The sequence below is a fragment of the Homo sapiens genome, chromosome X (assembly GCF_000001405.40).
Source record: "Homo sapiens chromosome X, GRCh38.p14 Primary Assembly".
Lineage (NCBI taxonomy): Eukaryota > Metazoa > Chordata > Mammalia > Primates > Hominidae > Homo > Homo sapiens.
The window spans coordinates 85834362-85850160 of NC_000023.11; the positions used below are offsets into that span (position 1 = coordinate 85834362).

Genomic DNA, 15799 nt, shown 5'->3' on the forward strand with positions numbered 1-15799 from the left:
TAATCACTCTTATCTGCATGTGAGACAGCGTCCATAGTAGATGAAGGCAAGGGAGAAGTGGATTCTGAATGGCTTTTGAGTAGTAAATATTCAGTGTCTGTCATATTAGCTCACATGACCTCACAGGCCTTCACTAAAAAAGTGTTTAAGATTTTAAAATACTGGGCCATTGCATTGTCATCTTTATTTATGAACTGTAAGCCTGTCACTTGGGAGCATTTTCAATGAAAACTTCTCATACCTTCAATAAGTTACCCTTCAGTGACTGTTTTTGTTATTGCTTTGTTTTGAAAATTATTTGGGGATAAGGACTACCATTAAATTTTTTCTGTGGTGGGTGTGTTATGTAAAATTAAAGGGTTTAATGCAGTTTATCTCAGTTGGTTTAACTCAACATAGATTGAATCCCTACCAATTGACAAGAACTGTGCAGATCAATCTAGAAATGTACAGTCTAATGTCATTGAGGAGTGCCAAATGATATATTTTCCAAGTAATATAGAGACCACATAGCTTCTAACCTCATTCCACTCACTGAAAATGATGGCTCTAATAATAAAAATTTTCAGGGGTAGACCACTGAAGTTTAGCAACTCCCTAGATTTGGCAGCAGACAGGAAACTGAGAGGGGCACACATTACACTTGAGTTACTTAATTGAAACCTTGCTCCTCCTCCTCCCTCTTCTCCTCCTTTTCTTTTTTCATCCTTTCTCTACACTCTCCCCTTTTTGCTTCTTCTTCTCTATAGAGACCTTGGTTCTAGTGCTTTACTCTCATGTAAAAGTTTGGGAAACTCAAATTTATTTATTAGAACATTATTATTCCAAACACATTTGAGAACATCAAGTTTCTCCCCCAAAATGATAATTCTATTACTTCAAAAATGAACAAGAGAGAAGAAGAGGGGGAGGGAAGAGAGAGAGAGAGAGAGAGAGAGAGAATGTCTGAACATATAGTGGATTAGAATAACTATTTATTTGGAGGAAAAAAGTAGAGTAACGTAATTAAACCCTGAATAATATTTACTGATAGTTTTGTTATATAAATGTTTAAAAATAGAGCCGTGATACCTATTTGGGATTAACAGTAGTTCCAAAGGTAAGAATATATAGACTAATAACATAAATTTCACAAATTGTTGCATTGTGACATTAATAATATATTTCTAAATGGGAACAATTATCAACCACCGATAAACAGTCAAAACAAAGAACCCCAATTTATTCAGAGATGTGTAAAGCTGGGCACACCTCATTCATAGATTTTTTATTTTTAGAATTCTCGACATATTAAATTTTTCTGAGGAAAAAATGTATATTCATTTATTCATACTCATTTTTGAACTAACATTTATTTAAGGTCCACAATATGCTAGATATTTTATATTATTTTTTGATTACTTAATGCAAATATAGCAACATTATGAAGCAAGTATTATTATCCCTGTTTTACAAATAAGGAAATAAACTCAGGGAGGTGAATGTGATCAAAGATAGATATATAGTTAAGAAAGTTAAAGAGACAGGATTCAAGCCTAAGTCTGTCTGACTTCAAATCTCTCTTCTTCCCACTATTTATTGCTCCCTATGAGTTTATATTAATGAAATCTAAAATCCCACTTAAAACCGTATAATGAAGAAATTAAGAAAACCACCTGAGATAGTGATATAATTTTTCTAATCACTAAATATTTTTTTCTTAGCTCTTCTTGTGGAACAATATACAATATGATTCTTGGGATTGGTTGAGCATGTCTGCCTTATTCTAACTCAAATTTATTTAAGATATGTGTTTTATAGTATTCTGCTACTGGAAATATTACAAATACAGTAATAAAATATATCATTTATTAAGTAAAATAATAAGGAACATGAGTAAAACATTTTGCCTATATTATGCCAGCAGCTATGCTATGCACTGGCAACACACACAGGCTTACAATGAACCCAGAGGTGGGAGCATCTATGTCACCAGGAGAAATTTAAGGATGATTTAACATTTAAAAACTATTAATATGGTTTATTACATTAATAGATGAAAGGAGTGAAAAACATGATCAGTGCTTAGCCCATAGTAGGCAGTCAATAAATAGATGCGGAAAAGGCTTTGGTCAAAATTCTAGACCCATTCATGATAAAAGCTCCTTAGCAAACTAGAAATAGAAGTCAGCTCCCTTAACTTAATAAAACCTACAATAAACATACACTAACGGTGAACTGTTTTAACCTTACCTTTTTCACAGCCAGGAAAATTAGAAGTATGTCTAGTATCACCACTTCTGTTTAGCATTGTATTGGAGGTCCTTGGCAGTTCAGTAAGACAAGATAAAGAGTTAAAATGTATAGGATTGAAAAGGAAAAATAAAACTGTCATTGATCACAGATTATATAATTATCAACATAGAAAACTAAAAAGAATTATAGATATATTATTAGTAAGAGAGTTTAGCAAGGTTATTAGCTACAAGATCAACATATAACGTTAATTTTTTTCCTATACATCAACAGCAAATTATTATAAAAGAAAAGTTTAAGAAACAGTATATGATGCCTTGGAATACATAAAAGATGGTCAAGACTTTTTAATTAGTCAGGTAATGTTCGCTATGCTGTGGTAACACATAATCCCTGAAATAGCCATGTTGTAACACAACACCAATTTATTTCTTGCTCCAGTTACAGTTAATGTGAGTCAGGTGGCTCTCTGGCACAGCTTCCCTTTAAGAGCTGACTCAAGATTCCTGGAAGCTTCCAAACTGTGGCAATGCCATCTGGACTACTAGTTAGTTATAGAAAGGAGAAAAAGGAATGCAAGAGGCAAACTGGCTCTTAACTGCCCAGCTACCTGAACTTATCTTCAAAGTAGAGTGGGAAATGCGGATCTGAACATGGATATTTGGTGGACACTATCAGTGTCTGCCAAAAGGTATAATATTATTTAGAAAACATAGTAAAAAATTAAATAAAATGAGTGATATACCCTCCCATTCATGGATGGGAAAGTGAAGTAATATTGAATGCAATTCCAATCAAACTTGCAACAAGGATTTGCGTGTGTATGTGTGTGGAACTTGACAAAATGATTCCGAAATGTATATGAAAGAGCAAAGGGCCAAGCATAACTAAGACAAAAAAAAAAATGAGGCAGAAAGGCTGACTCTACCAGGTATCAATACGTGTTCGAAAGTTACAGTAATTAAAATAACATCATCTTAGTATAGGAATTGACAAAATAGCAATAACATTGAATATAGTCCAGAAACAGATTTCATGTATAAGAATTTAATAATTGATAATGGTAATATTTCAGATTAGTGTGAAAAAGATGATCTCAAAAAATGGCATGAGGAAAATTGGATATTCATATATGAAATTTTATGTTAGATTTCTATCTCACATAAATCCCCCAAATAAATTTCAGGTCAGTTAAAGAGCTAAAAGTTTTCTTTTTTTTTTTTTTAAAGGTATTGTATTAGGGTTCTATAAAGCAACAGAACTATTAGCATATATGCATATGTATATGAAGGGGAGTTTATTAGGAAAATTGATTCACACGATCACAAGGTGCAGTTCCACAATAGGCCATCTGCAAGTTGAGGAGCAAGGAAGTCAGTCGGAGTCCCAAAACCTCAAAAGTAGGGAAGCCGATAGTGCAGCCTTTGGTCTGTGGCCAAAGGCCTGAGAGCCACAAATCACTGGTGTAAGTCCAAGAGCCCAAAAGCTGAAGAACTTGGAGTCTGATGTTCGAGGGCAGGAAGCATCCAGCACAGGAGAAAGATGAAGGCCAGAAGACTCAGCAAGTCTCCTCATTCCACTTTCTTCTGCCTGCTTTATTCTAGCCATGCTGGCAGCTGATTAGATGGTGCCCACCCAGATTGAGGGTGGGTCTGCCTCTCCCAGTCCACTGACTCAAATGTTATTCTCCTTTGGCAACACTCTCACAGACAAACCCAGAAATAATACTCTGCATCCTTCAATCTAATCAAGTTGACACTCAATATTAACCATCACAGGTGTTTTAGCAACATGTGGGACATATTTTCCTACTAATGAATTGAGAAAGACTCTTCTAAACAAGATGCAAAGTCCAGAGCCATAAAAGAAAATATTAAGTGAATTGTCTATATCAAAATTTAAAATTTCTAGGTAATGAATCACACCATAAAAGTTAAAATCTAGAATGAAAAAAAGATTTGCAATATGTGTAATGAAGTATTAATATGAAAATATAAAAAGAATTTTTGCAAGTTATAATAGTGGCAAGGGCATAAACTGAGAAATCATAGAAGAGGTAACTGAAAATTGGCATTGAACATATGTTTCGATGTATAAGGAGGGAAATGCATAGTATAACAATATGATACCATATTTTTTAGCTCATTAGATTGGCAGACATTTAAAAAGTAATAATATCTAGTATCAGTGAGTGGAAATCAGCTTTTTTAAAGTACCATTTGGCAGTCTATCAAAATGTAAAGTGTACATACCCTTTAAACCAGTAATTCAACCACTAAGACTCTATCTACCAGAGATATGCATGTGAACAGAGATATAAGTATGAGATGTTTGTTGAATCATTACTTAAAAGAACAATAAAACTGAAAACAACCAAATATTCATTAATAATTGTTGGATAAATAGATTTCATACCATGGAATGGTACGCAGCAATAAATAAGAGGGACGAACATTTTTATGTGCTATATTTTATGATGTCTAAGATATAGTTGTTGAAATAAGCCAATTACAGAACTATGATGTGAGCCAACTTATGTTTTTAGAAAACATTTAAAAAGACCCTATACCCTTATACTCAGTGTGTGTGTGTGTGTGTGTGTGTGTGTGTGTGTTTGTATACACATGCATAAGTGGAGAAAAATATCTGAAAGAACACACCAAACATCAGTTTTACATCTGGGAAGAAGTTATATTATAAATGGTGGTAAAGGAATATTTCAAAAAATGTAGAAAATTCAAAAGTAGAAAGAAAAAAGACTGTTCACAAATTCCCTCAATTCAAAGCTAACTATTGTTACCCTTCTGTGTACACACACATACATATATGCACGTAGATATCTCTAGCTCTCTTTTACACAACGTGGGATCCCACATACATGCTACTTTCATAACTTGCTTTTTTGTTTAACCATACACTGTGGATTTTTTTCATGACATTAATTGCCTATTTTATTTATTTAACAATAACTTATAGTGCATACTATATTCCAGGCACTTTCCCAAATACCATACATATACATAAATCTGAATTCTTTCAATGCTTTTTAAAGGTATTATTGTTACTGCTATAAAAGCATTATCATTTGTGTACGTAACATCAACATTAATCATTCAGATGAAGGAGAAATAAGGAAAGAGTGCCTATCACTGTAATGGAACTGAGAAAATTTTCAGAGGACCTTCCATGCACAGGTTGAGGCCCTTCTAGAGAATACCTGGAAAATGTTATTTGGATCTGGACCGCAACATGAAGAGAGAAGCAAGTTAATGACTCTTTTTACAAAACTCTATTCATATACACAGCACATTTTTGTTATACATCCAAGTAATTTTTTTAAACCACAAAGAGAATTACCAGTCAAGTAGCTCTGACACAAGCTTCCTTTGATTAGACCTCCCATGCTGGTAGCCACTGCAACTGCTTGGATCTTTTTTTTTTTCAAGACAAGTCCCATTTGCCACAGAGATTTATAGTATTTCCATTTCAGCCTGTATAGCACTAATCACTATTAGAATATGGGCAAAAAGCCTGTTAATAAATATAGTGATGGAATCCATAACAGATGCTTTTCTCACAATAAAAGCTTGAATTTCACACACCTCCTAAATTTCCTGTGTCTCATGACCAAATTTCAGGTATTTGGAAAGTTTGTTTGATAAAGTGTCACTTGGGGATAAGAGATGGGCCATTTCTCTTGGGATTAAACCTGAATATTTAGACTTCATTGCCTCTTTGAATGTACTCTTATAGATGTCACTTTTCAACTTGCAGGTTTAAGTATCTAAAACCACTAACACCAAGTAATGAGAAGGACTCTAGTCTGATTATACTAAACATCTCGGTTCAAGTTCACTAAAAATTCTCCAGCACATCTGCTGTTACAGTCATGGTGGAGAGAAGAGTGGCCTGGTAATTAGAAAACCTGGCTCCTAATCCTGGCTCTGTCCTTAATCATGCAAACAGTAATGCTATCTTTTCTTGAGTTCTATTCTACATGTCAGGTGCTTTGCTGAGTGCTTCACATGGATTTTGACATATTGACTCTTACAAACATCCTATGAAGTAGGTACTATCATTATTCTTGTTTAACAGGCAAGGAAACTGATAACTAGAAAGATTGAAATGATTTGCTAAGAGTTACAGCTAACAGCCCAGCATCACACCCATGAGTGCCCACGCATGTGGACAAGGGGCCTGGGGATCAACCCACTAGCTCAATGCCATCAGTGTCCACCCACATGTTTCAGAAACCTGAGGACAAGCCATTCCAGCCTGCTGGTGCCTATGCACACCAGCTGAGAGCCTGGAGATCAACCAGCCACACCTGCCACAGCCTGCATCCGTGTGCACCATCAGGAGCCTGAGGACAGGCTAGCTCTCCCTGGCACCACCTCCTCTAGTGCCCATATATGTCTTTGGGGGTTCTGGGGATTGGATTGCCTCACCTGCTGCCAGTGGTATCCAGAAACTCTTCCTGGAGGTCTGAGGATGTGCCCACCTGTCCTGCTACCACCACCACTGCCAGCACCTACTTGCATAAACCACCTGGTAACCTGGGGATTGGCCCACCCAGTTTGCAGCTGCCACTGCTGATGTCTGTGCATACCACATGAAGGGCCAAGAGCTGGCCTGCCACAGCTACTGCCACCATTGTCAATTGCTACACACCATCCAGGGACCCAAAGACACACTTGACTTACTGTTACCACTCCACTGCTGGAACATGAACAAGATACCTGGAGGCCCAAGGATCAACCTGCCTTGACCCACTACCACCAGATCTCACACACACTTTCATGGGGGCCCAATGACTGGCATGTTTGGCCCACTGCTGCCACCACTAGGGCCCAAGGATCAGCCCATCTGACATCCCTGTCTCCAGTAAGGCCCTACCACATCCTCCACTAACAACTTCAGCCTAAGCCACTGAAGAACTCACAGACACCATTTATGCTGATTGCAGTCAAATAAATCATACAGAGACTACAGAAAAGCGTGCACCCAGAATCAATGGAAAATCACCCAATCCAACCAGAACTATAGATAAATTTATAAGAAACAGTCTTTACCTACAAAATCCTATCCATAAAATAAGTGACTGCTACATCAGACATGCAAATATCAACATAAGAACACAAGAAACATGAAAAAACAAGGAACTATGACACCTCCAAAGAACATAATTCTCCCGCAATAGATTCCACTGAAAAAGAAATCCATAAAATGCCTGAAAAAATGCAAAATGATATTAGAGAAGCTCAGTGAGATGCAAAAGAACACAGATAAACAATACAAAGAAATCAGAAAAAAAAGATTTATAATCTAAATGAGAAATTCAACACAGATAACTATCATAAAAAAGAATCAAACAGAAGTCTTGGAGCTGAGGAATTCAATGGGTGAAATGAAATAAAACATATAACTGAGTTTCAACAATAGACTAGATCAAGCAAAAGAAGGAATTTTTAAACTTGAAGGCAGGTCTTTTGAAATAACCCAATCAGGCAAAAAAGAGGAAAAATAATTTTAAAAAAGAATAAAGAAAGCCTATGTGGCATATGGAACAACATAAAGCAACCAAATATTGAAATACTATGCAGCCATAAAAAATGATGAGTTCATGTCCTTTGTAGGGACATGGATGAAATTGGAAATCATCATTCTCAGTAAACTATCGCAACAACAAAAACCAAACACCGCATATTCTCACTCATAGGTGGGAATTGAACAATGAGAACACATGGACACAGGAAGGGGAACATCACACTCTGGGGACTGTTGTGGGGTGGGGGGAGGGGGGAGGGATAGCATTGGGAGATATACCTAATGCTAGATGACGAGTTAGTGGGTGCAGCGCACCAGCATGGCACATGTATACATATGTAACTAACCTGCACATTGTGCACATGTACCCTAAAACTTAAAGTATAATAATAATAATAATAATAATAAAGAAAAAAAAAAGAAATTGTGGGTGTTCCAGAAGAAGACATGGGCAAAGGCACAAAAATCTATTTAATGAAATAATAGCTGAAAACTTTGAAGTCTTGCAAGAGATACAGACATCTAGTCACAGGAAGCTCAAAGATCCCCAAAGAGATTCAACCTAGAATGGTCTTTTCCAAGGCATATTATAGCCAAACTGTCAAAAGTCAAAGACAGAGAGAATTCTAAAAACAGTAAGAGAAAAGTGTCAAGTCACATATGAGTGAATCTCCATCAGTGTAAGAATGGATTTCTCAACAGAAACCTTATAGGAAAGGAGAGGATGGGATGAGGTACTCAAAAGTGCTGAAAAGAAAAAAAAAAGAGGCCAGTCAAGGGTAATATAACAAGCAAAGTTCGTCTTCATAAATGGAGATATAAACTCTTTCCTCCACAGGCAAAAACTGAGGGAATTCATCAACACTAGACCAGCCATCCAAGAAATACTTAAGGGAGTCCTACATCTGGAAGCAAAAGGACAATACCTATTATCACAAAAACACACACAAAAGTATAAAGGAGATACACAAATGAGAAAGAGAAACAACTCAAATATTACCATTACAGAAAACCACAAAGCCATAATGATAAATGGATGGAAGGAAGGAAGAAACGAAGGAAGGAAGGAAGGAAGGAAGGAAGGAAGGAAGGAAGGAAGGAAGGAGGGAAGGAAGGAAGGACTCAGACACCACTTATGCTGATTACAGCCAAAGAAATCACACAGAGACTACACAAAAGCATGCACCCAGAATCAAAGCAAAAGTGCCTTACCCAACCAACACTATAGATACATCCATAAGAAACAGTATTTACCTACAAAATCCAATCCATAAAATAAAAGAGGTGACTGTTACATGAGACATGCAGATATCAACATAAGGACAGTTGATATCCTTTGATGAATTTCTCATTGAGATTATAAATCTTTTTTTTCTGATTTCTTTGCATTATTTGTGTTATTTTGCATATTATTGAGCTTCTGTAATATCATTATTTTACATTCTTTTCAGGAATTTTATGGATTTTTCATTGGAATCTATTGCTAGAAAATTATTAAGTTCTTTGGAGCTGTCACAGTTCCTTGCTTTTTCATGTTTCTTATAGGTTGTACAAAACAATCAGAAAATAATTAGCAAAATGACAGAAATAAGTCCTCACCTATCAATAATAACCATGAATGTAAACAAATTAAATTCCCCTAAAAGATATAGACATGTTAAAATGGATTTTTAAAAGTATGACCCAGTTATATGCTACCTACAAGAAACTAAGTTCCCTGTAAAGACATGCATACACTGAAAGTAAAGGGATGGAAAAAGATATTCCATGCAAACAGAAACAAAGGTAAGCAGGAATAGCTATACTTCTATCATATAAAAGAAACTTCAAGTCAAAAATAGTAAATAGAGATAAAGAAGGTCACTATATAATGATAAAGGGATCAATTCATGAAAAGAACATAAGAATTCTAAATATGTTTGCACCAAAACTCAGATAACCCAGATATATATAGCAAACATTTTTAGATATAAAGGGAGAGATTGATGCAAATACAATAATAGTTGGGGACTTCAACACCACACACTCAGGATTGGACAGGTCATCTATAGACAAAATTAACAAGGAAACAATTGTACTTTAGACTAAAATGGACCTAACAAATATTTAAGGAACATTTCATTCAATAACTGCAAGATACACGTTCTTCTCATTAACACATGGAACATTCTCCAAGATAGACCATACATTAGGACACAAAACAAGCCTCAACACATTTTTAAAAATTAAAATCATATCCTGGTCAGGTGCGGTGGCTTATGCCTATAATTCCAGCACTTTGGGAGACGGAGGTGTGATTGCTTGAGGATTGCTTGAAGCCAGGAGTTTGAGAAGAGCCTGGGCAACAAAGCAAGACCCTGTTGCTACACAAAAATTAATAAATAAATCAGTTGTGGCAGCATGCACCTGTAGTCCCAGCTACTTAGGAGGCTGAGGTAGGAAGATTGCTTGAGCCCAGCAGGTTGAGGCTGCAGTGAACCACACTCACACCACTGCTCTCCAGCCTGAGCAACAAAGCAAGACTCCCTTCTCTTTCTCTCTCCCTCAAAAAAAAATATTATGTATCTCCTCAGGCCACGATTACATAAAAGTAGAAATCAATAACAAGAGGAAACACTACAAATACATGGAAATTAAACAACATGTTCTTGAATAACCATTGTGTCAAGGAAGAAATAGAGAAGGAAATCAAAAATGTCTTGAAATAAATGAAAATGGAGGCTAGGTGCAGTGGCTCATGCCTGCAATCCCAGCACTTTGGGAGGCTGAGACAGGAATCTCACTTGAGGCCAGGAGTTTGAGACCATACTAGGCAACATAGTGAGACCTTGTCTCTACAAAAAATATAAAAAATAGACAGGTATGGTGACACATGCCTGTAGTCCTAGCACCTCTGGAGGAAGGAAGGAAGGAAGGAAGGTAGGAAGGAAGGAAGGAAGGAAAGAAGGGAGGGAGGGAGGGAGGGAAAGAAGAAACAATATACAAGCATATCAAAACCTATGGAATACAGCAAAAGCAATGCTAAGAAGGAAGTTTATAGCAATAAACACCATATCAAAAAAGTAGAAAGATTTCAAATAAACAACTTAGCAATGTGTGTCAAGGAACTAGAAAAGCAATAATAAATTAAACCTAAAACTAGCAGATGGAAAAACAAAACAAAGAACAGAGGAGAACTAGGCAAAATTCAGAAGAAAAAAAATACATATATATTTTACATATATACAAATGTATATGTATTACAAAAAATACATATATACTGTGTGTGTGTGTATATATATGTGTATGTATGTATGTGTGTGTATATATATACATATGTGTATATATATATATATATGTGTGTGTGTATATATATATATATATATATATATATGGGACCAACAAGACAAAAAGTTGGTTTTTTGAAAGATAAACAAAATTGCTAAACTGCTAGCTAGACTAACTAAAAAAAGGAGAGAGGACCCAAACAAATAAAATCAGAAATTAAAAATGAGACATTATAACTGATACCACAGAAATACAAAAGCTCATTAGAGACTATTATGAACAACTAACTATATGTTAATAAACTGGAAAACCTCGAGGAAATGAACAAATTCCTGGATACTTACAACCTACCAAGATTGAATGCAGAATAAATAGCAAACCTGAATAGAACAATAATGAATAATGAGATTGAATAAGTAATTAAAAGTCTCGCAATAAAGAAAAGCCCAGGACTGGCTTTACTGCTGAATTCTACCAAAATTACAAAGAAGAACTCACACCATTTATTCTTGAACTATTCCAAAAAACTTAAAAGGTGGGAATTCTTCCTAACTCATTCTACAAGACCAGAAATACCCTATACCAAAACCAGAAAATAATGTAACAAAAAAGAAATTATAGGCCAATATTCCCGATGAAGATGGACACAACATTCTCCACAAAATACTAACAAACTGAATCTAACAGCACATCAAATAGATAATACGCTATGATCAAGTGGGATTTATCCCCAGGATGCAAGGATGTTTCAAGATATGGAAACCAATAAATGTTGATGTAATAATCAACAGAATGAAGAACAAAACAATGTGATTATATACTCCGATGCACAAAAAGCATTTGACAAAATTCAGCATCCCTCCATGGTAAAAACTCACAACAAGCTACACACTGAAGGATCATACCTCAACAGCATAAAGGCCATTTATGACAAAACCACAGCTAACAACATACTGAATGGGGAAAACCTGAAAGCCTTTCCTCTAAAAACGGGAGCAAGACAAGGATACCCACTTTCACCAGTCCTATTCAACATACTACTAGAAGTCCTGGCCAGAGCAATCAGGAAATAGAAAGAAATGAAAGGTATCCAAATAGGAAAAAAAGGAAGTCACACTGTCCCTCTCTGTGGATGACATAATCGTATATATAGCAAAACCTGAAGGTTCCACAAAAAGCTCTTAGGATAGAGAAAGAAACTGAGTAAAATTTCAGATACAGAATAAACATACAAAAACCAACAGCATTTCTACACAACAATAAGAAACTAACTGAAAAAGCAATACCAAAGACAGGCAATAACAAATGCTCAATATCACCAGCAGAACCTGCAGAACAGCAAAGATTGCTATCTGTTCCTTCCTCTGGAAGCTTCGTCCCAGAAAGGCACCCACCAGATGCCAGCTGGAGCTCTCCTGTATATCTGTTGACCGCTGCCAGGAGGTGTCTCCCAGTCAGGAGGCACAGGGGTCAGGGACCCACTTGAGGAGGCAGTCTGTCCCTTAGCAGAGCTCCAGCGCTGTGCTGGGAGATTCACTGCTCTCTTCAGAGCCAGCGGGCAGGAATATTTAAGTCTGCTGAAGCTGTGCGCACAGTTGCCGCTTCCCCCAAGTGCTCTGTCCCAGGGAGATGGGAGTTTTATCTATAAGCCCCTGACTAGCCATACACAAAAAACTGAAACTGGACCCCTTCCTTACATCTTATACAAAAATTAACTCAAGATGGATTAAAGACTTAAATGTAAGACCTAAAACCATAAAAATCCTAAAAGAAAACCTAGGCAATACCATTCAGGACATAGGCATGAACAAATATTTCATGACTAAAACACCAAAAGCAATGGAAACAAAAGCCAAAATTGACAATGGGATCTAATTAAACTAAAGAGCTTCTGCACAGCAAAAGAAACTATCATCAGGGTGAATAGACAACCTAGAGAAAGGGAGAAAAATTTTGCAATCCATCCATCTGACAAAGGGCTTATATCTGGAATCTATAAGGAACTTAAACCAATTTACAAGAAAAAAACAACCCCATCAGAAAGTGGGCGAAGGATATGAACAGACACTTCTCAAAAGAAGACATTTATGTGGCCAACAAACATATGAAAAAAAGCTCATCATCACTGGTCATTAGAGAAATGCAAATCAAAACCACAATGAGATACCATCTCACACCAGTTAGAATGGCGGTCATTAAAAAGTCAGGAAACAATAGATGCTGGAGAGGATGTGGAGAAATAGGAACACTTTTATACTGTTGGTGGGAGTGTAAATTAGTTCAACCATTGTGGAAGACAGTGTGGCAATTCCTCAAGGATCTAGAACCAGAAATACCAATTGATCCAGCCATCCCATTACTGGGTATATACCCAAAGGAATATAAATCATTCTACTATAAAGACACATGCACATGTATGTTTATTGCAGCACTATTCACAATAGCAAAGACTTGCAACCAACTCAAATGCCCATCAATGATAGACTGGATAAAGAAAATATGGCACATATATACCATGGAATACTATGGAATACTATGGAATACTATGCAGCCATAAAAAAGGATGAGTTCATGTTCTTTGCAGGGACATGGATGAAGCTGGAAACCATCACTCTCAGCAAACTGACACAGGAACAGAAAACCCAACATCGCATGTTCTCACTCATAAGTGGCAGTTGAACAATGAGAACGCATGGACACAGGGAGGGGAACATCACACACTGGGGCCTGTCATGGGGAAGCTAAGGGAGGGATAGCATTAAGAAAAATACCTAATGTAGATGACGGGTTGATGGGTGCAGCAAACCACCATGACACATGTATACCTATGTAACAAACCTGCATGTTCTGCACATGTATCCCAGAACTTAAAGTATAATAAAACAAAACACACAAACAAACAAACAAATGATGGCAAGGAGGTGGAGTAAAGGAAACACTCGTATACTGTTGGTGGGAATGTAAATTAGTACAACCACGATGGAGAACAATTTGGAGGTTCCTCAAAACAATAAAAATAGAGCTACCATATGATCCAGCAATCCCATTGCTGGGTATATATCCAAAAACATGGTAATCAGTATATTGAAGAGATATCTGTACTCCCATGTTTATTTTAGCATTATTCACAATAGCCATGATATGGAATCAACCTAAGTGTCCATCAGCAGATAAATGGATAAAGAAAATGTGGTACACAATGGAATATTATTCAGCCATAAAAATAATGAAATCCTGTCATTTGCAGCAACATGGATGGAACTGAAGGTCATTATGTTAACTGAAATTAGCCAGGCACAGAAAGACAAATGTCATATGTTCTCACTTATTTATGAAATCTAAAAATGTAAACAATTGAACTCATGGACATAGAGAGTAGAAAGATGGTTACCAGAGGCTGGGAAGAGTAATGGGGGTGTGGGAAGGAGGTGGGGACAAAAAATAGAATGAATAAGACCTAGTATTTGATAGCACAACAGGGTGACTAGAGTCAATAATAATTTATTTTTATTTTTTAAAAAAATTTGGACATATGAGTTTAATTACCTGCTAGGTCATCAGATGGAAATATGTAGTAGTAAATGGATGGAAAAAAGGTTTATAAACTTAGGAGAGAGGCGGGCATTTTTAGACCACTTGAAATTTAGACATTCACCAGATTGGACAATTTTGGGCATTTAAAATAAATCATTTTGCCACAAAAAACACAAAGCAATGTATTAAAACTGGTTTAGAGAATTGCCCAAATGATTTTTTCAACATGATTTGAATTTTTTTCATATTACATTAAATGTCAAATTTTCTTCGGCAAATCTATCCAAATACTACATTTTCATTCTACAACTTAATTTATATTAATATAGTAGAGTGTCCTAAATTGATGTTCATCAGGATACCTTCCTCTAAGCCCTAATGGTTTCTATCTTCCATTTAAAATGTACAAGTATCTTTTAATTAAGTTGTCATTCTCAAAGATATTCTGGAGAAATGATTAGGAATTAAACACCTATAAATTCTTCTTCACTTCTGTTACAGTGTAGCAATTTATTATCTAATCCATAGTGGTCTATCAATTGAGTAGGTTTACTTTCTTGTTCTCTGCAGACATAGCTGACTACAACTCATAAAGCAACGGCTGGCTACAGCTTCTCTACTTCTTTATTAACAACTGTAACTGAGACGATCAACATTCTTTGATCTATATACATTTGGACAAGATTTCGCCTCCAAAAGAAAGTCTTCTTTCTCCTGAACCTGCTTCACCAATTTTGCTTTTTCTTCGTTTAATTCTTGTTTAGGAAGATTCTAATTCACAAACTCATTTTGGAGAGCACTGAATGACACAGAATCAAGTGACTGAGATTCACTCACATTGATATTCTTGAAGGTATTTTTCAAATATGTGATTTCTTCAAATTCACTTGTCTATGTGTTTAAAATTTTCTTGAAATTCCAAACAGTTTTCCTCTGTGGAATACGCTGGTTTCTCTGAAAAGTTCTGATTGTTTTCTTCATTCTCTACTTTAAGACGTTTTATCACATTGTAACAGGAATTAAATGAAGATCTTGTTTTCCTTAATCTTTCTTTAAGTGTTGCACTCATAGGTTGTTTTCATGAACTAGTTGTACGGGGAGATGATGGATTCACAAAGGCCTGTGGAGTACTAGGCAAAACCACAGCTGAGTCTGACTGACTTTCCATCTTGAAAATGAAATCTTGGTTTACCTCTCTGCTCTCCCCAGCATGAGC

At 36.1% G+C, this 15799-nt stretch overlaps 1 non-coding gene and 1 pseudogene across 1 annotated transcript; one reads left to right on the forward strand and one right to left on the reverse strand.

Moving 5' to 3' along the window:
- Positions 1-1418: 1418 nt before the first annotated feature.
- Positions 1419-1497, forward strand: MIR1321 (microRNA 1321). Its single transcript, NR_031710.1, has one exon. It is a non-coding gene; the product is annotated as a microRNA 1321 (primary transcript).
- Positions 1498-14881: 13384 nt separating this feature from the next.
- On the reverse strand, positions 14882-15799 carry SFR1P2 (SFR1 pseudogene 2; annotated as a pseudogene).